At 40.0% G+C, this 23,529-nt stretch overlaps 1 protein-coding gene across 34 annotated transcripts in view, besides 1 other annotated feature; it reads left to right on the forward strand.

The window, feature by feature from the left end:
• Positions 1 to 23,529, forward strand: part of PDK1 (pyruvate dehydrogenase kinase 1) — a 168,940-nt gene that overhangs the window by 30,246 nt on the left and 115,165 nt on the right. For 22 of the 34 annotated variants that reach the window (NR_103731.1, XR_007076395.1, XR_007076402.1 and 19 more), the window contains 3 exons: positions 660 to 770; positions 7,317 to 7,430; positions 10,211 to 10,405. Coding sequence is in view for 8 of the 34 variants with exons in the window: in XM_011511343.3 (XP_011509645.1) it covers positions 660 to 770; positions 7,317 to 7,430; positions 10,211 to 10,351 (366 nt within the window). In the remaining 26 variants the exon portion in view is untranslated. Of the gene's footprint in view, positions 1 to 659; positions 771 to 7,316; positions 7,431 to 10,210; positions 23,052 to 23,529 lie in introns of those variants that run through there. The other 12 variants (XM_011511343.3, XM_011511345.4, NM_001278549.2 and 9 more) reach the window with 3 other exon arrangements.
• Positions 6,320 to 6,527: a silencer, noted in NCBI's record as "fragment chr2:173456666-173456873 (GRCh37/hg19 assembly coordinates)". NCBI's record gives its function as "represses an EF-1alpha promoter that drives an FKBP-Casp9 reporter gene in an ReSE screen in K562 erythroleukemia cells {active_cell/tissue: K562}" and the evidence as "EXISTENCE:reporter gene assay evidence [ECO:0000049][PMID:32094911]".

The raw sequence follows: 23,529 nt of genomic DNA on the forward strand, positions 1-23,529 counted from the left end.
TTGCTTCTAGTCACCATGCTGCCCACCAGAAAGGAGTAACAGATTTATAGTTACATACAAGATAGGGTTAACTTGTGCCCAGTTCTGTGCTATAATGCACTGTTAATGAGACTCCCGGAAATATACAAAGCCACAGCAGTATTATGATGGAGTTTATGTATTAGAGTTTCACATATTAGAGGAGTTGGGTTGGGTTCAACAGCGAGGGAAATGCTTATATTGGCAACTTGGATTGTGTTGTATTCATTTTCAAAAGCAGCACTCAGGCTGGGTGCGGTGGCTCATGCCTATAATCCCAGCACTTTGGGAGGCCAAGACAGGCAGATCATGAGGTCAGGAGAACGAGACCATTCTGGCTAACATGGTGAAACCCTGCCTCTACTAAAAAAAATTAGCCGGGCATGGTGGCAGGCGCCTGTAGTCCCAGTTACTCGGGAGGCTGAGGCAGGAGAATGGCATGAACCCGGGAAGCAGAGGTTGCAGTGAGCTGAGGTCGCACCACTGCACTCCAGCCTGGGCGACAAAGCGAGACTCTGTCTCAAAAAAAAAAAAAAAAAGCGCTCTCCCACCAGCAGTTAAACTGTGATGCTATGAGTATGTGTTGATATTTTGCTGTTTTGAGGATTTGGGCATAGAGCACGATCCTTTTCTTACCTTAGATGAGTGACCGAGGAGGTGGCGTTCCTTTGAGGAAAATTGACAGACTTTTCAACTACATGTATTCAACTGCACCAAGACCTCGTGTTGAGACCTCCCGCGCAGTGCCTCTGGTATGTTATCAAGAAATAATGAAGTGTGTTTCTGTGAATTGCCTTCCACATGCTGTAGCTGCCAAATAAGTAAGTTAAGCCGTCATGTAGGGTACTCCACAAGGAAGAAAGAAGCTCTTAGAAATGCACACTTTCCCCTAAATTTAAACAGCCTTCAGAATACTTTTTTTTTTTTCCAACTGAAATGGGCACGAGACAGAGATTTGGAGTTCTTGTTACAAAGTTTGATCGTGATATAGCAGTAGTTTTCCTGTGTAAAACCACATTTTGAAATATGGTTAACCACATTATTTCTAATGTGGGGAATAAATTACTGGTTTTAGTAGTGTTTGGTCAACACTGAATTACTTTTTAGTGTTGACTTTTTTCTCAAGTACTTGTCATTAGAATGATCTCATATCCTAGACTGAAAAATAAGACTAAAATTCTAATCTGTTCAATCACCAACCTGAAGGCTTAAATTATAATTGCTTTGATGGTGTTTTGTTAATCTTAGTTCCACCTATTTTCAGGTTTAATAGGATCAACTTTTGAATTGACTCCATCCTTATCTTTATGTTCTAACTCCCCCACAAAAAGTATGTTGCCAAAATTTTGTCTGTAATTCTAGAAGAACTCTATTCTTCTAGGCTTGGAAACTTCTCTGACATTTCCAGTAGAGTTATGCTGTAACATGATGGGGGTATAGTACAAGATAGATCTATTTTAGACCCCTTCCTAGGAAGTTACTAGGACTTTATTCTGATAGTTTTGTGTCCGGAATTGGTGGGTTTTTGGTCTTGCTGACTTCAAGAATGAAGCTGCGGACCCTCGCAGTGTTACAGTTCTTAAAGATGGTGTATCCAGAGTTACTTCAGATGTTCAGATGTGTCTGGAGTTTCTTCCTCCCGGTGAGTTCCTGGTTTTGCTGGCTTCAGGAGTGAAGCTGCAGACCTTCACGGAGAGTGTTACAGCTCATAAAGGCAGGGCGTCTGGAGTTGTTTGTTCCTCTCAGTGGGTTCGTGGTCTTGCTGGCTTCAGGAGTGAAGCTGCAGACCTTTGTGGTGAGTGTTGCAGCTCATAAAGGTGGCACGTCCAGAGTTGTTTGTTCTTCTGGGTGGGTTCGTGGTCTCGGTGGCTTCAGGAGTGAAGCTGCAGACCTTCGCGGTGAGTGTTACAGCTCATAAAGGTAGTGTGGACCCAAAGAGTGAGCAGCAGCAAGATTTATTGTGAAGAGCAAAAGAACAAAGCTTCTACAGCCTGGAAGGGTACCAGAGTGGCTTGCCGCTGCTGGCTGTGGGGGCCTGCTTTTATTCACTTATCTGGCCCCACCCACATCCTGCTGATTGGTCTATTTTATAGAGAGCTGATTGGTCCATTTTACAGAGAGCTGATTGGTGTGTTTTTACAGAGTGCTGATTGGTGTGTTTACAAACCTTTAGCTAGCTAGACACAGAGTGCTGATTGGTGCATTTACAATCCTTTAGCTAGATACAAAAGTTCTCCAAGTCCCCACCCGATTAGCTAGACGAAGAGCGCCAATTGGTGCATTTACAATCCTTTAGCTAGACACAGAGTGCTGATTGGTATGTTTACGATCCTTTAGCTAGACAGAAAAGTTCTCCAAGTCCCCACCCGACCCAGAAGCCCAGTCCAGCTGGTTTCACCTCTCAGTTTTGCCTGATGCATAGCACAAATGCTATGGCTGCAGCTGTACTATAGTTGAAATGCTTGCTCTAGTAATGTCCTTCTCCAATTCAGATACATGCCCTCCAGGAGTTGGCATCCATATGTCAAGGGGCAGACAGACAATGTCAAATGATAAACATGAGCATCTTTTTACAAGTCTAGTTTTATCCTAAAAAGTAGAGGGATAGAAGGGAGCTGCTGTTTTTGTAGTAAACGAATATTGTAGAATTTTTATGGAGAGCGGCATAGTGAGCTAGTCCAGACTCTGGATCTAAACTCTTTGGTTCTGTTTCTGATACTGCTGCATCTTAGATGTGCAGCCTTGGGAAAATTATTGACCTCTGGATGCCACAGATTCCCCACTTAGAAAAATGGAGTTATTGTGAGAATTAAGTGAGTTGATACATGTAAAAATGCTCTTTATGGTGCCTGGCTCATGGTAAATGCCATGTAAGTGTGTGTTATTTTAGGATGTAAAATGTATGTGAATTTTTAAGAAAATAGGAGGCTTGACCTGGAACAGGCTCCTCCATACATCTACATGCCCTTAACAAGGCTAAGACTGTTACTAATTTCTTGCAGAGCCTCCTTTCTGCTGACATCGCTTTGTAGATGGTCCCAGTCAGCAGGCAGTAGGGTAGCTGGAGAAAGGCCAGCTGATGCCCACAGGAGTGGCTTTCTTGTCTACCTGGTTACGGAGGGCTTCCTCCCTGTGGATACCTTCTTGTGGGTCTTTGCATGGATAGGCTATCTTCACACTGTAAGTCCGGAGAGGAACATCCACACATCTCTGTTCCAGACCTCCTTCTCATCCTTCACTCAGTTTTGTTCTTTCCAAGTCCTTAACAAGCCAGCCACTTGTTTTGCCACTGCCCATGCTGGAAGGGTTTACTTTCACTGCTGTCTTTCAGGCCTGCCCTCCAACCTTGAGAGGGATTGTAGTAGGAAAACGGCAGCTTACTTTCAGATGGTGATAGCACATGGGGTAGATCCACCAGTGGACTAGGCCCATGTTGTTTTTCTTCCCTGTTAACTGGTTATAGGGGAAGCCCTATGAGTCAGCCCATAAGTATGGTCAAGAGAGAGCACGTGGTAAAGTAGGTCAGGTATCATGGGAGCCTGAACCACCTGCTCATACAGTTTTCTTCGGGCCACTTCTAAGACCAGTTAATGTATCGCTCAGAGTCACAACAGGAAAGAGGTAGCTCACTCAAATTATGAAAGAAGGCCTTTTTACAAAGAAACTAATTACATAGGTGTAGGTAAAGATAGCACAGGAACCCAGGGCTAGCAGCAGCAAAGCTATCACCACCTTGGATCATGAGGGATGAGGAGAAGGCAAAGTTAGCAGAACCCAGAGGAAGGGAAAGCTGCAGAGTAGCTGCTTACTCTCCAGGGGCCCGGCCTGCCCAAGGCAACCTCAGGGAAGGAACCAGGGGAGTAAATACCCACCTTGACTTCCTCTGAACTCCTGCTGGGTTTTCCAAGACATGCTGTAAGCAGAGGGCATGGGAATCCAGTGACAATCCAGGTTAGCCTCCCAGGGCAGGGAGGTGTGAAATGGAATAGTTGATTTGTACGGGCAAACAGAGACTCTGGGTAGAAAAGTCAAGTTATAGTTGGTGGAGTTAGGTAAAGCTGGAGCCTGGGTTTGTGAATAGCACTCTGATTCTTGAGTCCATACAAGCTCATAGTTAGCATGCTATATGGAATGTCATCAAACATATGACTTGGTAATAAAAACCATTTTCCCATTTATCCAGATGTTTTGTTTTGTATTAAGGAATTGGTAGGATTTATCCAGATAAAGAGGCTATTCTGGATACTGGGACCAAAATGAACAGACACGGAATGATATGTTTAAGGAACTTAAGAGCAAGAGGTGTAGTTGTGCTGGACTGGAAAGTGGGAGGCAGAGACCTGATCTTACCAGGTCTAGAAAGCTCTTTTTAGAAGCTTAGGTTTTGATTTCTAAGACAGTGGGGTAGGGGTGGTGGGAGTGCTGGTATGTTTTGAAGATTTTTAAGTGGAAAAGTGACCCGTCAGTGAGAATTAAGAAAGTAGATCTATATTAGAGATATCTCCAGGCTCAGAATGTGGCTGGAAATTTATGATATTAAGTCATGAGATATATCTATTAGGCTGCAACAAGCCATTTTCTACTCTTGCTCCTAAAAGAGATAACACATTTTATATGATATTGCCAAGAGCAGTATTGAGATACCATATCCGGAATTGGTTTCTTCTGGTAGGTTCTTGGTCTTGCTGACTTTGAGAATGAAGCTGCGGACCCTCATGGTGAGTGTTACAGTTTTTAAAGATGGTGTGTCTGGAGTTTGTTCCTTCAGATGTTTAGATGTGTCCAGAGTTTCTTTCTTCGGTGGGTTTGTGGTCTTGCTTGACCTCAGGAGTGAAGCCACAGACCTTCGCAGTGAGTGTTACAGCTCTTAAAGGTGGCATGTCTGGAGTTGTTTGTTCCTCCTGGTGGGTTCATGGTCTCGCTGACTTCAGGAGTGAAGCTGCAGACCTTCGTGGTGAGTGTTACGGCTCATAAAGATAGTGCAGACCCAAAGAGTGAGCAGCAGTAAGATTTATTGTGAAGAGTGAAAGAACAAAGTTTCCGCAGTGTGGAAGGGGACCCGAGCGGGTTGCCACTGCTGGCTGGGGTGGCCAGCTTTTATTCCCTTATTTGGCCCCACCCATGTCCTGCTGATTGGTCCATTTTACAGAGTGCTGATTGGTGTGTTTACAAACCTTTAGCTAGACACAGAGTGCTGATTGGTGCATTTACAATCCTTTAGCTAGACAGAAAAGTTCTCCAAGTCCCCACCCGACCCAGAAGCCCAACTGGCTTCACCTCTCCATCCCCCCTCTAAACAGTATACCCCAACTGTTGTTGGGAATTGGGCGATGACCGCTGTAGCTACTTCTTGCTGGATAGGGGCAAAGAAGGGGCCCTGCAGTTGTAGTGTCCTCCAGAGGGGAACTCTTTAGGCCAGTGAAAGGGCCAGCGGGTCAGTCCAGGGGTCCTTGATAGAAGTTGTTAGTTGAGTTCATTTGGGATTCCATTTGTAAGACCATCTATAGCTTGATGGCCTTGATTCTAGAGGAAACAAATTTGACAAGGAGGTTAAAAATACAGGGTCCGAAGGTGAGTAATAGCAAGATGGCTGTCACAGGACCTAGAAAGGGGAGAAGCCATGTTGCCCAACTCCAGAGGTTGGTATAAGAGTTTGAAAGGTGTTGTCTGATTTCGGAAGACTTTTCCTGTAAACGCCGGGCGGCATCTCATACTATCCCTGACTGGTTAGTGTAAAAACAACATTCTTCTCCTAAGAAGGTGCAGAGTCCTCCATTCTCAGCAGTGAGGAGGTTTAGGCCTTGGCGGTTTTGGAGAGTCACTGCTGCCAAAGAGTCTATTTGGGATTGTAGAGTAAGGATAGATTTCGTTATTTCTTGCAAACTGTCTAAGAAATCCTTTGAGAGTGTTTGGTAGTAGGATAATGAAGTAGATAAACTGGCTGTTCCGGTTCCTGTAGCAGTGGCCATTTCTAACTCTGTAAGTAGGGGTATTAGTTGTATGGCCCTGCGCTGATGGACTTGAGCTTTGAGGGGCACTGATAGGGTCTGATTTCCATAAGATTAGAAGTTAAGATAATAAATGTTACACTGTTAACTTTTAGCAAACTTTACTTTTGTTGAAAACCTTGTAAGTTTGGAATTTCAATTATTCCTTGCTATTAATAAGACCTCGTTCAGTCCATATTAACTTAAAATTGGTATAGATGGCTCCTTCCTGATTCTGTAAGTACTTTAAGGTTTGGCTGAGTGCAAACAGCTCGCATATTTGAGCAGACCAATTATTAGGCAATTTTCCTAACTCTGCTTCTACAATAGTTTCCTTATTACTTACTGAGTACCCATTGTGTCTTTTTCCCTTAATCGCCTGGGAGGAAACATCTATTGTCCTGTCCTGAAGGGAGTTCCTCCTGTGTCTGGTCGGACCTTCAGATTTAGATCCCCTGTTAGGAAACCTGCTGGGTTAAGGATTTTTGATAGGAAAGCTACGGGTTGTCAGTGGTCTCAGTGCTTCCGGGCTATGCCCTTGTTTACACTGACAACAAGGTGGTATTGGAGTGTTATAGGGTTACAGAGAAGACCTTCAATTATCAGTTATAGGTTTTAAATTTACCCTGGCTTTTGAAGGAATAGGGTACACTGTTTTTTCTTTACTACTTCTATCTCTCTTTCTCTTTGACTTCTTTGCCTCTCTCTTTCTGACTCCTCTTTGTCTCTTCCTCTCTCTGACTTTTTGTGTCTCTCTTTCTCTCTCTCTCTGACTCCCTCTTTGTCCCTGTCTCTTCCTCTCTCTGTCTCTGACTTTGTCTCTTTCTTTCTTTCTCTCTGACTCCCTCTTTGTCTCTCTCTTCCTCTGTCTCTCTCTCTGACTTTCTGTCTCTTTCTCTCTTTCCTTTCTGCTGGTCTTTCCCTGCCTCTGCCAGCTGCTTATGCTGCTCTTCTCCCCTCTCCTGGAGAAGTCCGCAGACCAAGAACCCACTGGAAGGAACCAATTCCAGACACAATACGACCGAGCAGGCCAGCAAGGAAAAGCAATATGCTTTTTCGAGACCAACCACAAGTCATTTTATAGAAAGAATAAAGAGTTTTAAATGACCAGAGGGAAGTCAGCTGATACAGTACTCAAGTAAACCTCAGCTTAATCATTGTCAATGCTTAAATATTAATTATATTAAATATAATGCATCTCTCAGATGCGGGCTCTGATAGCCCCGTGGTACTCAATGGCATCTATCTTAATTAGAAAAGTATTTCAGTGTGTGTCTTTCTGAATAGAATTTTGTTTTTCTCATCAAACAGGCTGGTTTTGGTTATGGATTGCCCATATCACGTCTTTACGCACAATACTTCCAAGGAGACCTGAAGCTGTATTCCCTAGAGGGTTACGGGACAGATGCAGTTATCTACATTAAGGTAATAGCTGTAGTCTTCTTGATTTAATATTTCTTTTGATGATAAGAACAGATGTCCATACTTAACTGTAATGAAATTTAACTCTACCACATGCTGTTTAAATAGAAAAAAACTATGGTTTTTTGCTGGGGATCTCACCCATTTTGATAGATGATCCCCTAAAACTATGGGGAAAGAGATTTGTATCCTGGAGTGATTAGGACTCTGTCTATTAATAGGAAAAAAATTGGGTTAAAGTAGAGAATCATAAGTTATATATCATACAAGTTTAATTTTAACATAAAACACATGAATGGACATTGATAACGCCAAACTTTTGATGTACTGCCAAGGCTTTTTTTTTGTATATGGGTCTGCAGATTGGAGTGTCACATTGTCTTTTTTGCAAAAGCTGTACTGACAGTGCATCATTTTAGTTTCTTTAAACCAACAAGTGCATACTCTTTTTGGACTTTTATGCAGTCCTTTACAGATACCTCCTGACTGATTTGACAGCAAGTTTTATGTGACTTTCCTTCATGAGTCTTTCCAAAACATTCATCTTAGTTTTCAAGGAAACATTCCCCTTTTTATTCTTTGCTTATGTAATAAATTTTGTAATTATCATGACAGAATTGTACAAACAGATTTGGGAACAAGCACAAGTGACTCTTGGTAAGCATATAGCTTACCTAATGGACACAGAAGCACTTAGTCTGCTTGCCTGGAGTGTTCAATGCATTAAGGAGGGTTCCACACATTTTACATGGTGGAAAAACACTAGGTTCCATCATTCCCCTTCTTCGGCTAACTGGTGGCTGTTTATGCCTGATTTAGTGACTCTAGTTTCTTGTTCTGGCCACTAGATGGCATCTATTTTATAGGAAATGTTGAAGAATTTATATTGGAAAAAATATCTGAAAAGACTAAATTCTTTCTAGATGGTATTTTTTGTTTTTTTAACCATGTCAATTGCGAGGGAAAAGGGCAACATCAATGCAATGTTTTTCTTTTTTTTTTTTTTTTGAGACGGAGTCTTGCTCTGTGTCACGTAAGCTGGAGTGCAATGGCATGATCTCGGCTCACTGCAACCTCCGCCTCCCGGGTTCAAGCTGTTCTCCTGCCTCAGCCTTCCGAATAGCTGGGATTACAGGCGCCTGACTAATTTTGTATTTTTAGTAGAGATGGGGTTTGACCACGCTGGCTAGGCTGATCTCGAACTCCTGACCTCAGGTGATCCGCTTGCCTTGGCCTCCCAAAGTGCTGGGATTACAGGCATGAGCCACCACACCTGGCCTAGTGCAATGTTTTTATGACAAAATGTAACATTTTGATCTAGCCCAGGAGTGTCCAATCTTATGGCTTCCCTGGGCCACAGTGGAAGAACAGCTGTCTTGTGCCACACATAAAATACACTAATGATAGCTGATGAGCTTAAAAAAGATTGCACAAAAAAAAATCTCATAATGTTTTAAGAAAGTTTACAAATGTGTTGAGCTTCATTCAAAGCCATCCTGGGCCGCATGCAGCCTGTGGGCTGTGGATTGGACAAGCTTGATCTAGCCTGTAGATCAAGAAATTCTGGAATATTTAGAGAAATATGGAGGTGAAAGGTTTTTTGTTCTACCTTAGGGAAAATAGAAGATAAGAAGTCTTAGAGAATCATTAAAATTGTCAACATCAAAGACTTTAGCATTATCAGAATGAGATTTTCTTGTTCAGGGTGTTCTGCATCTTAGGAAATGCCTTTGGCCTGGGATGGAAATACTACTGAAAAATCCTAACTTGAAGAAGATAACTAGAAATGTAGTTTATCTCAGGTTCCAGTGACTTATAGGAAGCTGAAATACAATGGAGAATTACTGGTAATAATATATGGAAAACTGAAATCATGCATGATGCAGAAATCTTGTGCACAGTGACTGAAATTGGAGGCCGGAGAAGACACAGATTCAAACCCAGGGCCAATAAATGTTCACGAAAAAGCTAAGATGCCTTAGACATAGATTTCTATTTATTAATAATGTTATAATGAGTTTTTAAATTTTTATGTATTTATAGAGTCAATATCTTGCTTTGTTGCCAGGCCGGAGTGCAGTGGTACAATCATAATTCACTACAGCCTTGAACCCCTGGGCTTCAAGTGATCCTCCTCTCTCAGTCTCCCAAGTAGTTAGGACTACACCCATGTGCCACCATGTCCAGCTGATATTTTTATTTTTTGTAGAGACAGGATCTTGCTATGTTGCCCAGGCTGGTCTCCAACTCCTGAGCTCAAGCAATCTTCCTGTGTAAGCCTCCCAAAGCACTGGGATTATAGGCATAAGCCACCGTGCCTGGCTTGTGATGAGTTTTTTTTAAAGCACAGTGACTATGCTGAAAAAAACACTATTTCTTCTAGTAAATAATTAAAATAGAGTTCATTAAATTTATGTGCATCTATTAAGATACATATATCGATTTGTATGCTTTTACATTTAACCAACTTCTTCAGTTAGCCAACTCTGATCTGGGTCATGTTTTGTGTAAAATTTCAGTCCAGCAGCTTCCAGGATGGCTGGGGAATTACTGTAAGCAACAAACTCAGTCAACCTGCACATCAGTCAGTGCCATAGATTTCATAAATAACACGTTTCAAATATACATACCATTTAAAAGTATATTTAGGTGGTATAAGGATTAATAAGATACTAATAGAATATTATTTAATTTGTCGTAACCTTTTTGCCATTGTCTATTTTCTCAAATAATGAATTCTAAAAAATGCCAGACTTAATAGGTCTTAGGTTTTTCTTTTTCAGGCTCTGTCAACAGACTCAATAGAAAGACTCCCAGTGTATAACAAAGCTGCCTGGAAGCATTACAACACCAACCACGAGGCTGATGACTGGTGCGTCCCCAGCAGAGAACCCAAAGACATGACGACGTTCCGCAGTGCCTAGACACACTTGGGACATCGGAAAATCCAAATGTGGCTTTTGTATTAAATTTGGAAGGTATGGTGTTCAGAACTATATTATACCAAGTACTTTATTTATCGTTTTCACAAAACTATTTGAGTAGAATAAATGGAAACTGAATTCCATTTGTGCCCGTTAAACCTCCTAAAGGATGAAATTGCACCTATTTTACACTTATATTTTCACAGTTAATTGAACATATTTTTAAACAACTGTAGTTTTGGGCAACTTTTCACTTTGTGGTAGACTTCAGAAGTGTGGAAATCTTCGGGTTTCTATAGGAAACTAGTTTTTTTTTTTTAAGAAATACTTTCATTTATGTTTGCTAGAAACATTTTCTAAATGATAGTGATTAGCTGGTTAGCCATCTTCCTGTTATTTGGAGGAGTTCTGCCATCTTTTATTCGGTAGTGACAGCTGTAATATGGTCTTCATGTTTATCAGTGACTTGACTACAAGTAAAGCAGAAAACAGTTGGCCTGTAATCACAGAACCAGCCACCCTTCGGCGTCTACATGCATTGTCTTAGCTCTGAGGTTAATTTACCATTTTTAAATTTTATTGTAAAGAAGTGTAATGACTAGCTCTCTGTGGATCTATGCCAAAATCATGGGCCATCTTTTCTAAGTGTACTTCTGATTAATGCAAGGGGAAATTTTTATACTGAAAACAAACAAACAAACTAGCAGCTACTAAAATAGAGAAGAAATTGAGGGCAAAGTAATATGTCTCCAAAACTGAACTGATTGCTTGTTGAGATTACCTAGAAAGCTTTTGGAAAAAAATAGAGCTTTTCTGCATCCTACTCCAGATACACTGAATCGGAATCCCTAGGGCTAGAGCCTAGAAATCTCACTTTTTAAAATGCTTCCAAGGTAAGTCTGATGCCTACCCTAGGTTGGGAACCACTCTTTCAAAGTAAACAGTGATGACACAGCATTTGCTAAAGTAACATCTGTAGGTTTTGGTTTCCACCTATTTAAAGTCAGATTTATAGACTCGAGGAGACAGAAACTGAATCCCACACCTGGTGCAATTAGAAGCATAATTAGAAGCAGAAGAACAAAATGCCACGTAACCAAAGCATCAGAGCCATCATTGCACGTGTCTTTTTTTCTTTTTTCTTTTTTTTTTTTCAAGACAGGGTCTCGCTCTTTTGCCCAGGATGGAGTACAGTGGCATGGTCAAGGCTCACTGCAGCTTCAATCTTCTGGGCTCAAGTAATCCTTCCACCTCAGCCTCCCATATAGCTGGAACTACAGTTGTGCACTACCACACCCAGCTAATTTTTTGATTTCTTGTGGAGATGAGGTCTCAGTATGTTCCCAGGCTAGTGTTGAACTCCTGAGCTCAAGAAATCCTCCTGCCTGAGTCTCTGAAAGTGCTGGGATTACAGGCGTGAGCCACCACACATGGCCTATTGCACAAGTCTTGACAAACAACATATATTTTCTAAAACTATCCAGATTTCATTATCAGGGAAAAGTTTGCTTAGGTTTATTACAGCAGTCCTTGGCATTTGTATGGTAATTTGTACTTTACAAATACTTTGATATATTATAACTCTATTGGTCTTTGAAACAAAGCGATACAGTGTAGGTGGTATCATTCTCTTTCTCACTCAGTGTGGCCCAGAGTTGCTCAGAATTGGAGCAGAGCCTGAGACGTATCTGCAGATCCTGTCATCAGCTGGCAAGTCCAGGAGACTGTGTCATTTAGAGACTGTGTTGTTAGTTATCCCTCAACATCTTCTAAGGTGGCAGGAAATAATATTGGAAATAACATTTTAAAGTAAAAATTTTAAAGTTTAAAGAAGAGTTTTGCCACTTAAACAGGGGAGCTTTGTCTGGAAAATACACTGAGTTGAAACACTTCATCCTTGGAAGGATTATATAAGATGAACAGTTGTGATAAATGTGTAGATTAGAGGGATGTGAATGGGCAGTTAGTCCAGTGCCCTCATTTAAGAGGCCAAGATCCTGATTCAGAGGAGGCATCCTTTGCCCAGAGCTGCTTAGCTAATCTGACCAAATGTTGGGAAAAATGTCTCACCTAACCCACTATTCCTTAATTATGGATTTTGTGAAAAACAATAGAACATGTTAATGAGTAATTTATATTAGTTCGATGTATTACAATTTTTTAGCTTTAAATTACAGTTTTCTTATAATGTTGAAATGTTTTAGAATCCTTTGAATCTAAGTATTTGTTTCCTAAATGAAACATTTGTACAACATTTGATGTTTTTACTTATGAAATATTCTCCTCCCCCAAGAAAATTTAAACTTTTTCTCTCTATTTAAAAGCTAAGAAATGTTTTAAAGGAAAAATGAAATTATCTTCCTTTAGCTTATTTTTAAGGTAAAACAGCTTTTTACTCTGTTATTGTGGTAATGGACAGAATATTACATACAAAAATATTCTGGGAGAGCTTTTTCCTAGTTGGTTTTAAATCATTGTGCCACCTGAAAGGTTTTTAGATTTTATAGGAGCTAATTTGTCCACCAGCATTAATGTAACACAGTGTAGTTATGAAAATATATTGAAGGACAGGAAGTGGACACGAAGTGATTTTTGTAACCTGAGCAGTTAATGAATGTGCCAACATTTTCTAGGAAGGGACAGCAAGAATATTCTGCTCTGTAGTTAAAATACTGGCTGGCTTTTGATGTCTTCATGCTTAATTGTGATCACTTTCTTGCACTGTGATGTTTTTACGTGAATATGTTGAAGTAGAAGTCTACCATATTATTTTATAAAATGTTTTCTGTATGGCAATAAACTGAAAACATGGATCAACCCTTCTTTTGAAAATAAACTGAGTCAATTTAGCCTTTTAAAAATATAGTCATCTCTTTTAAATAGAATCCTCTTCCACCATCAAGGCTCAACATTTTGTAAGCATCCAAAAAATTGGTAATTAGGGGGCTTGCACTAAATTTCACTATCTTCAGTAGAGAGGAACTGTTTGGAACTTAGATTTCCAATGTGTATATTCTAATGGAGAAAGCAAGAGGTAGAGTTTGTATGTTTGACTTACCTTAGATTTTTATTTTCCATACATACTGCAAATGATTGACTTGTTGCATAAATGAAGATCTTCTGTTGTGTGCTTTTCAAACACTGTAAATAAATTTGAAATTTGAATAACTTTCCACAGTATAACTGTAAAAAAAAAAAAAAAAAGTCTTAATTTAACCAGCATTACCCTCTGCTTGTACCAATTGAATGGCAGAACTACTATAGTCAAAAATAAATTCCTATCCTATTTTTAATTGATGGGATATAGGCAGCACAATTTCCCTTCATTGTTGAAGCCAACAAGTTCCGTAACAGAACTCCAGAGGTAAATAGCTGGGAAAACTGTTAGTTTTAAGGTCCCACTGTTGCTCTGTGAATGACTAATCAGAGGAAGCCAAAAATCAGCCAACTAATTTCAGTTTATGTCTTTAATTGTGATGTAAGTGTGAAGTTTCTACATATGGGTAATCAGGGTTGAGTTAGGTAGTTTGCAAACATGACTTTTGCTGGAGGAACTTTTAATCATGTCTTATTAATTTCTGGTCCCAATAATTAATTTTCTTACAGTCAAACCCAATGCACTTGAAAAATAATATAATTAATACTGTGTGAAGAATTTTTTGCATGTTAAAAAAAGCAAACCACTAGTTTGCTTAGTTCTGGCATTCATAAACTACTGTACCTTCTGTTCTATTGACATGTTTGGAAAAAAGAATTGAACATATGTACCACCCCCCTCTTTCTAGAGTCTCCACAGTTCTTTAGCAATTGCTAACCATAGGTTTTTAATAGCAAAAGACAAGATTGTCAGTTTTTGGTGCAAAACTCTACTCTTTTTGGTTGACTTGGAAAAGCTGTTGTTTATATTGGGAATTGTGACAGCTGTCTTTTACTTTGTTAAATTAGCAATTATTTAGCAAAAATACAGAGTTTCACCCCAGTAAAATAAACTTCCACGTGAGAGTTGTGTTCATTCAAGGGTTATTTTTTGAGAGTGGAAGTACATTTCCTGCATTTGTCACAGATAATATCAGAAATTTTGTTGTTTTGATTAAAATGTTGCCATCTACTTATAAGTTAAAAATGCTGAGAAGGTTTTTTTTGGAAACAGTTTATGAGGCCAGGACATTTTTAAGTTTGACTCAAATATAAAAAGCCACAGTATTCTTGCCATGGTTTTGTACTTAGATGTCTCTCATTATGGAATTCAGAATGTGACAGTTATAGTACTACATGAAAATACTTAATATAGAGTTCTACAGTTACAGTATTGCATGAAAATACAGTATGGTATGAAATTATTTGTCCAAAACTGTACTCCAGAAATGGAGCCCATATGATTATATAACTATAAAATAGGATGGGACAGAGAAAAATATGTCTGTATTACAGCATAAACATATCTGGTTTAATATGAACTATTTCTTTTCATCTCTTTACTCTCAGTATCTCCATAATGGCCAGTATGTAGTAGGCACCTGTAATTGTGAAGCAGCCTCATTGTCTGGGGTAAATACCAAGGTTCTTGGTCTCATGGCCAAGGAGATCGAGGTCGCAGACACACACAGTTTGGAGCAGGAGTTTAATAGGCAAAAGGAAACAGCTCTGTTACAGAGAGGGGTTCCGAGCAGGTTGCCAAGTTGTAGTAAAAATGTCAGGGTTTTTATAAATGGGCTAGTGAGGAGGGGGCTCATGAGGAGGGGATATCTTATCCTCCTAGGGTCCGAGGACGCTTTAGTTGGGACCAGGTGTGCTATCTGTACAGAGCATAGCTTTTTATCAGCTCTTATCCCATTCCTTGACCACATAGGCTCTTAGACTCTTATTCTATGTTGTCTTCGTCCAGCTTATCTGGAAGGGAGAGTTTCTCTGTCTGTTCCCATACATCTTGCAGCTGCAGGCATCCCCCCGGTCTGCTTTTAGCTTCCTTATCTTAGTGCCCCTAAAGGGAAAGGAATGTGCTTATTAAGGGCCACTGTTTTACTGGGGTTAACTGCATGAGGTCAAAAAGAGCTATATTTGAGCTGCTGTTTGTTAAAAGAAAAGTTTTCTGCCGGGGACTCGCTTTACCCTGTCTACCTAAATTCTTTCTGCCTTCTATAACAATTGTATGCTCAGTAAATACATAAGGAATAATGAACTTAATAACATTTTTTTCCATTCTCAAAATGATACTTAAATGACTCAGTACAACAAAGAAACTGAGTAGTAACCAGTGCAAAACTAGCAAAAGGATGAAATACACAAGAAAATGAGAGAATTTAAGAGGAGTAGCAAAACAGCACTGCTAAAGTTACGGGTTTATTTTAAAGTTTAAAATAGAAGTAAACAAGCAAACATACTGATAATGGTTAGGCTTTCTGTCCCCACCGCACAAATCTCATCTTGAATTATAATCTCAACATGTTAAGGGAGAGACCAGATGAAAGTAATTGGATCATGGGGTTGGTTTCTCCCATGCTGTTCTCGTGATAGTTCCCATGAGATCTGATGGTTTTATAAGTATTTGGTAGTTCCTCCTGCATTCATTCTTCCTGCTGCCCTGTGAAGAGGTGCCTTCCACCATGATTGTGAGTTTCTGGAGGCTTCTGCAGCCTTGCGGAACTGTGAGTCAATCCTTTTTATTATAAATTACCCCGTCTCAGGCAGTTCTTTATAGCAGTGTGGGGATGGACTAATACTCGCTGGGTTAGCTGGGGTAGGTAAAGCCACAGCTGTGGCAGCAACCAGCTAGTGGGTGTCCCTTGATGGAGGCTTTGCAGGCTGCAGCAGAAGGGACCCTTCAGATAAACCTCCAGTCAGGAAAGGAAAAGGCCCAAATAAACAGTATTTAGATTTTTTTTTAAAGGACATAACTACCAATAGAGATTTAAAATAATCATAAGAATACCATTAACTTTATGATAAAAATTTTGTAAGTGGAGAAGAAATGGATATATTTCTAGGAAAACAGTAGAAGATCCATCTAAGATTTTGACAATTTAAATCAACCACTAAGGAAGTGGAATCAGTAATCACAAGTCCACCTCGCCAAAAGACAATTTTTGAAAGATGAATGTTACCAAAACATCAAGAAACTGATAATTCCTGTCTTATAGAAACTTTGAAATGAGAGAAAGCTACCCAACCCATTTCAGAAAGTTAGTAAAATCTCAAAGCTACACTTGAGCAAAGACTGTGAAATATTAATAGACCAATCTTGTTTATGAACATAGATGGAAAAATTGCTGATGAAATATTGGCACATTGAATGTAGCAGTGCATAAAATATTGTATCATGAGCAAAAGGAGAATCTTTCCCAGGAACAGGAGGATGTTTTAATAAAAATATGTAATTTACCTCTCTACAGATTAAAGGAGAAAAACTATATGATCACATCAACAGAAACAGGAAATTCAGTTTCTTTGGGGGATAGTTGTAATTAAAAGTGCTTAACTCACTTATATAAGCCATTAGTGGATGTTACAATAAACCTCGTATAGTGTCAGATGTAAGACAGACATACTGGAATTGTCTATGAGGTTGGATCCATGGGCCTGCCATGGAAAATTTGTTGAGTAATACGTCCAAGGCGTCACCATTTGCCAGGCGTTGCAAGTATCACCATTTGCAAGGTGTTAACAAAAAGTTACCTGCCTATGGATTCTCCTTTCTAACTCTGACCTAATATTTTGGAGCATAGAGGAAAGAAACATCTTATGTTTCTGTGTTTGGGTAAACATTAGACTTATAAAAGGGCCTAGGGTTTTTTTGTTTGGTAAACCATTGCCTTTCCTGCTTTGGTGTGGCAAATCTTCCTTTGGAGAAAAAGGTCCCTTTAATCTTAAAACCAACTCTCAGTGACCAACAAAAGCAACAAATAGGAACAACCACCCATTAAGAACCATCAGGTGATGCCTCATTTGCTGTGGTGCACAGCTGAACTTGATTGTTACTCTTGGATCAGGGTTGGCTTGATAAGGACTCACTTAACCAATGGAAAGTAAGGTTAAATCTTTGTAAGCAATGCTCCTGATGCGAATCACCTGGAGATCTTGAGCAAATGCAGACTGGTTCAGCAGATCTGGAGTGGGGCCTGAGATTCTGCATTTCTAACAAGTTTCCTGGTGATATTAATGCTGCTGGTCTGTGAGCCATACTTTGAGTAGCAAAGGACTAAAGGTTGTGAGATAAACTGCTTTTAGCAGCCCAAAGGGCCAGCTGGAAAGACGAGACCAGTTACAGAGCAAATGGCAAGACAGATCTGGTAATCTGATTCTTAGAGTACTTAAAAAAGATAAGAAGGATCTATTCCTGATATACAGGGTACTTGGTGGATGTGTCCATGACCTCGAGATCGAAAACCCATTAGTTAATCTTTGTGACATCTGAATTTTAAGGATCTTACCCAGTGAACATATAACTAGTGGAAATCCTGATAATTGGCTAATGCAAGGAAGTGATACCCATGTGTAATGCTTATCTTTGTATCCATTTCATGGGGAAGGTCATGGAAGACGACAGCAAACTTGAGTGGTTAATGAGAGCTTCACTAATGTTGTCTGCTGCAGGCAATAAGTGAAGTCTCTGGCAGTGGGAAGCATGGACCCAAGACCGAAAGCTCTGGCACTTTATAGCAGTGGTGGGGGGTAGATAGGACTTAGTGTGGCCCCTTAAAGAGCAAGGTCCAAGTGATTTTCTCTGGTGAATGTCGATGTGGATCTAGTCTCCAGGGTTAGATCCAGGCAGGTAACATCAAAGTCAGTTGATAAGACCTCTTATGCCTGTGAATGGAAGGCCCTGATAAAACTTCATTATTAATGTTCTGCATTAATTTAGCGGATGACTATAGTCATTTCACATAATCTAATACATGAATGTCCTGTATGGGTGACTGCTGAGGGTTTAACAAAGGAGAGTCCATTTATATTTGGCTGGTAAGATCGATGCTTCTGTCACTACTGATGGGCAAGGATATTAACATCAATATCTAAAAAAATTCTGAGATTTGGATTGTGATGTGTTAAATTTCTAGACCAATTTGAGGAGAATTTAACAATAGCTTTTCAATTTATGAACATGGCGTATATCTTTTTTGGCGGGGGGTGAGGACAGAGTCTTGCTCTGAGATTACCCAGGCTGGAGTTTAGTAGCATGATCTTGGCTCACTGCAACCTCTGCCTCCTGAGTTGAAGCAATTCTCCTGCCTCAGCCTCCCCAGTAGCTGGGATTACAGGCGAGCGCCATCATGCCTGACTAATTTTCGTATTTTTAGCAGAGACAGGGTGTCGCCACCTCAAGGGATCCACCTGCCTTGGCCTCCCAAAGTGCTGGGATTTATAAGCGTGAGTCACCGTACCTGGCCAGACATAGCATATATCTTCCTTTACATAGATTGCCTTTGATTTCTTTCATTGTTACTTTGTAGTTTTCAGCTTACAGATTCCGCGCATATTTTGTTAGACTTAAATCTAAGTATTTGCTTTTTTTTTAACTTACAAATTTTTTTAAAAAAACGTTTTTCCTCTCCAATGTTCATTGCTAATACATTTCACGTTTGAATCTCCAGTTCAGAAAAATCATGGCCTCTGGAGTTTTACTGAGGACTAGAGATAGCTAAGTAACATAGTTCCACCTTATTCACTTGGTCTTTGATGTGGTGTCCATAATTGAGTAAATGGCAGTATGTCCAATGGCAACACCATGAACTTGACTTTGCCCTCTTGTCTAGCCCTCTCCATTTAGACTTGGAAGGGTCAGCAGTAAAATTTCACTGGCCCAGTCCAGGGCTGCTTGAGTGTTACTGTTTTGTGCCACAATATGATGTGGCCAGACTACTTTTCTAGTTTCGAGATTATTTTGGAGCTTTATATTGGGTATGTTCTTATCCAACTATCATTAGGGGCATTGATCTCTGATGCCCTTTTCTTTCTTATCTTCCAAATGGCAGGCAGTAAATGGCTTATTAAGCAAGTATAAGATTCAAGATCTCAGCCCCAAAGATACATTTGTAGATGCCAGGCTTAACATTCCTGAGGCTCTCAGAGAAAACTTTTCCCTCTATAGACTCCCCATTTTAAGAAGGAGGCACAGGGCTTGGTTGGCCCATTTAGTTAGTGACACACCTATATTACTCTCCTTGGCATCTTACCCCAGCCCATCCATTGGGTTGTGTCAGTCTTTTATTTCTAAGTGAGGATCCAGTCAACAGGAGGCACAAGAGATAGAACCAAATACCATAATGCCTCCTTCTATTCCACTATGAACAGTCAAGGACACTGGAGGCCTCTGGGTGGGACACATAGGCGTTCAAGAGCCTCTGAGCTTAAAGATATGTGAGTGGAGCTAACTAGACTGTCCAGGTTTGGTCTACACTGTAATTTTTTTTTTTTTTTTTTTTTTTTGGAAGCAGAGTCTTGCTCTTTTGCCCAGGCCAGAGTGTAGTGGTGTGATCTCAGCTCAGTGCAGCGTCTGCTTCCTGGGTTCAAGTGATTCTCCTGCCTCAGCCTCCAAGTAGCTGGGACTACAGGTGCCTGCCACCATGCCCAGCTAATTTTTGTATTTTTAGTAGAGACGGGGTTTCACCGTGTTGGCCAGGCTGGTCTCGAACTCCTGAGCTCAAGTGATCCTCCTGCCTTGGCCTCCCAAAGTGTTGGGATAGCAGGCATGAACCACCGTGCTCAGCCTCTCTGTAAATCTTGAGTCGGCACTGAGCTCATGAAAGCTGTGCTGAGTGGGTTTCTTTAGATTTTCATTTTCATGTTTGCCCCATTTATGCTAATATTAATTATTGGAAAATAATTCACCTACTTTGCTTCTCTCTGACCAACATAGGGGCAGGATCTGTGGAAAGACATTTACCACCTGTTTGAAAAGGTCAGCGTGCTGATATTCACTAACTACTACCCCCACAACTCCCCCTCCCCCAAACCTGATAGATGCTATAATTTCTGCAGTCCAATCACTATTCTTCCCAAACTCCATGAGCCAGATTTTATACATACTTTGCGTGACCATAAAACTCTGTACTATTATAGACATAAAACCATTTAATTTCATAGATACCTTCAGTGGTGGCATCACTGGGTCCTCTCTTGGATAGCATAGTCCTATGACCAAATGGGTCAGTCGTTGATCAGGCTTCATGAGAATATGATCGCTGGGAGAAATATACAGCTAATTTAACAACAAATGACTGTCCTAATTCTGGAGACCTGGGAAGTATTGATGAGAGTATAGTGATCATAAGCAGACATTGGGTGCTTTAGCAAAGCCAATTTGCCTGCATCCTCTGGAAGGTAAAGAAGATCTCCTCTCTCTTAGAACTTAATCAAACTCTTGGCATCCACAGAAGGCTAGGAGGATGTAATGAATACTTACCATTTTTGTGGAAGCCCACAACCTTTTGAATGGCCTTTCTATACTTTAGTGAACCTCCATGTTATGAACCTTACTTCCTCAAGTCTCTTTTGCTGCTAGGAGGCAGACAGTAACTTCGGTAATTAGAAACATCTGCACTCAGCAACATGAAGCACAAGTTCTGTGCAGTTGTCCATATGCTGTCATGAGTTTTGCCATATGTATCATCTGGCTTTCAGAGGACCTTTCATGGTTGTCAGGTTAAGTTCCTGATACAGAAGTGGCATCAGTGCTGGTGTTAATGGCTGCAGTAAAGTCAAATTCCTAGATTTTAGTGCTCTGTGGTAGCAGAGAGAATGGTGGTAGTTTATTTTTTCTTTCCTTTTTTTTTTAAAAAAAAAAAAAAACCTTTTTCATGTTGAAGTTCACATGACCTACAACTAACCATTTTAAAGTGTAATTCAGTGTCATTCAGTACATCCACAATGTGCAATCACCACCTCTGTCTAGTTCCAAAACATTTTTATCACCCTAAAAGGAAACCTTGCACCCATTAAACAGTGGTAGTTTCTCTATCATGCCACTTTTGTAGCATGCTTTGGGGTCTTATTCCTGGGATCTTTCTCTACAGTGGTATGATTATATAAGGGTGGAAATATAAAAGAGTAAGCCTTTAGAAACAGTTTGTGTCTAAATTAGCTCTCAGGCATATTGTCTTCAAAGGAATGTTTTAAACCAGCCAAAGACTAACATCAACATGCTTACATTTTGAGTCCAAAATTAAAATCCAAAATAGCCAAGCATGGTGGCTCACGCCTATAATCCCAACTACTCCAGAGGCTGAGGTGTGATAGAATTTCTTGAACCTAGGCGTTCCAGGCTGCAGTGAGCTATGATTGTGCTGCTGCACTCCAGCCTGGGTGACAGAGCGAGGTTGCTTCTAAAACAAAAATTTGAAATAGTAAGTGCTTTGATTTTTTTTAATATAGAATCAAACAATTGTGAAAATATAATTGGCTAAGTTTCATATACAGTTCTTTCTAAAACTCCTTCTGTTCTCTAAGATGTAGTTTGAACCAGCCAAGGATGATGGCTTCAACATGTCTCCAGTTGTTTTGCCACTCCAGGGCCTGACTCAAACCAAAATAAGACTTGCTGTTACCCTGAGACAAGCCAACTGTCATTGCTTTAGCAACCACTACGGCTACAGGTTGTTGCATCATGCCAAGCTCTGTGTTCTTTCTAACTAGTAGAATGGAGTGGGATGGTATCGTGATGGTGAACCCAAAACAATGGTACTAGGAAGGAGGTTGGCCAAACTCAGAGTGGAGGCTGACCCTGTATCTGGTTGTAGCAGAGTCGGTCCTAGGGGAACAGGCTCAGCAGCAGCAAGGATGCAAGGACCAGAAGGCAGCAGGGGAAGGAAAAGGAGCAGGGGATAGGGGAACTTTAGGAGCAGAGTAGTGTTGATAACTGGCATCTGGAACCTACAGTTTCCAGTTCAGAGCAGTACACCATACTCAGTGTATACTTACACTCCAAGACATTTCCTGGGCAGTGATCTAGAAATGATATTTTTAAAAGGAGCTGTGTTTCAGTGTTAGACTGTAGTTATCCAAGCAGTATCAGATAGTGTGCAGTTTTTGTAGTAAAAGGTAAAAATCTGAATAATAAAGTTTATTAATAACAGTTTTAGTTAATACTTGACTGACATTGAGACCCTTGATGCAAAAAGGTAAGTAGAAGAGAAGGCTGTAAACACAAGACCATCATACCCTGTGGGGAATTTACAATCTAAATATAACAAACATATAGAGTGAGATAGGAGAAAAGAAATGGGATGATAATGATATTGCTGTACTAAAGTCTATTTAGGAAATGGAAATATATAGCAAGAGGAGTCAGCTACTTGGGCATTGATCAAAGAAAAATAAACATATAGAAGGAAAGAAAGGTCGTTTTAGTTTATAACATTTTCCTTCCGATTCTAGGTGATTATATAGCTAGTTTACTCTTCCACCCCCAAGATTCTGGGGTATTTTGGCTAATGTTATTTGCAATGTCCATAAACTCAGAAGAAGTTAGTATTAACGGGGATATGAAAGAACCTCCAGTTACTATGCAAGAAATTTTAAATTTCCATCATGTTAAATTGTACAACTGTTTATCATTCACTCTGCTGTAAGTCTATGTGAAACCAAATCCGTGGATTTACCAATGGCCATTTTATCACCTCCAAACTATCTTTTATTTTTTTGAATTGTATCTCTCTCCTTATTCCATTTTCTTCTGTTTGATTAAAATCCTGCATGTTCTCCTGCATCATATGTCACTCATTTTTGTGTGAGCCACCTAGACCCTCTGAGAAAAAATTCAAAGCTACCCACTGTATGATTGTTCATTCACTGAACATGTATTTTTTGAGTGCCTACTGCATACTAAGCATTATGAAAGGCACTGAAATGGAAAAGACTAAGACATCCACCATCCACAGATGGGCTTTTGTAGGTCCTGGAATTGAATTTGTCTTGTCTTTCCCCTGTCATTTAACAGCCACTCAGGACGTTGGTAATTGGATATTTTCATAAACCACATTAAATTGTATAATTCTGAATTTCTATAATGGAAAATCATTATAAAGTCCCAAATCAATGAAGATAAACTTACTACATTATGCAAAATTAAAAATATGCTTGACTTAGAAGCTTTATTTTCTAAGGAGACAGTTAATAATGGACACTTTTGAAATAGCACCCTAAATGCACTTTTAGTTTCCAATCAGCAGATAGCAGCACTTGAT

This window comes from Homo sapiens, chromosome 2 (assembly GCF_000001405.40).
Source record: "Homo sapiens chromosome 2, GRCh38.p14 Primary Assembly".
Lineage (NCBI taxonomy): Eukaryota > Metazoa > Chordata > Mammalia > Primates > Hominidae > Homo > Homo sapiens.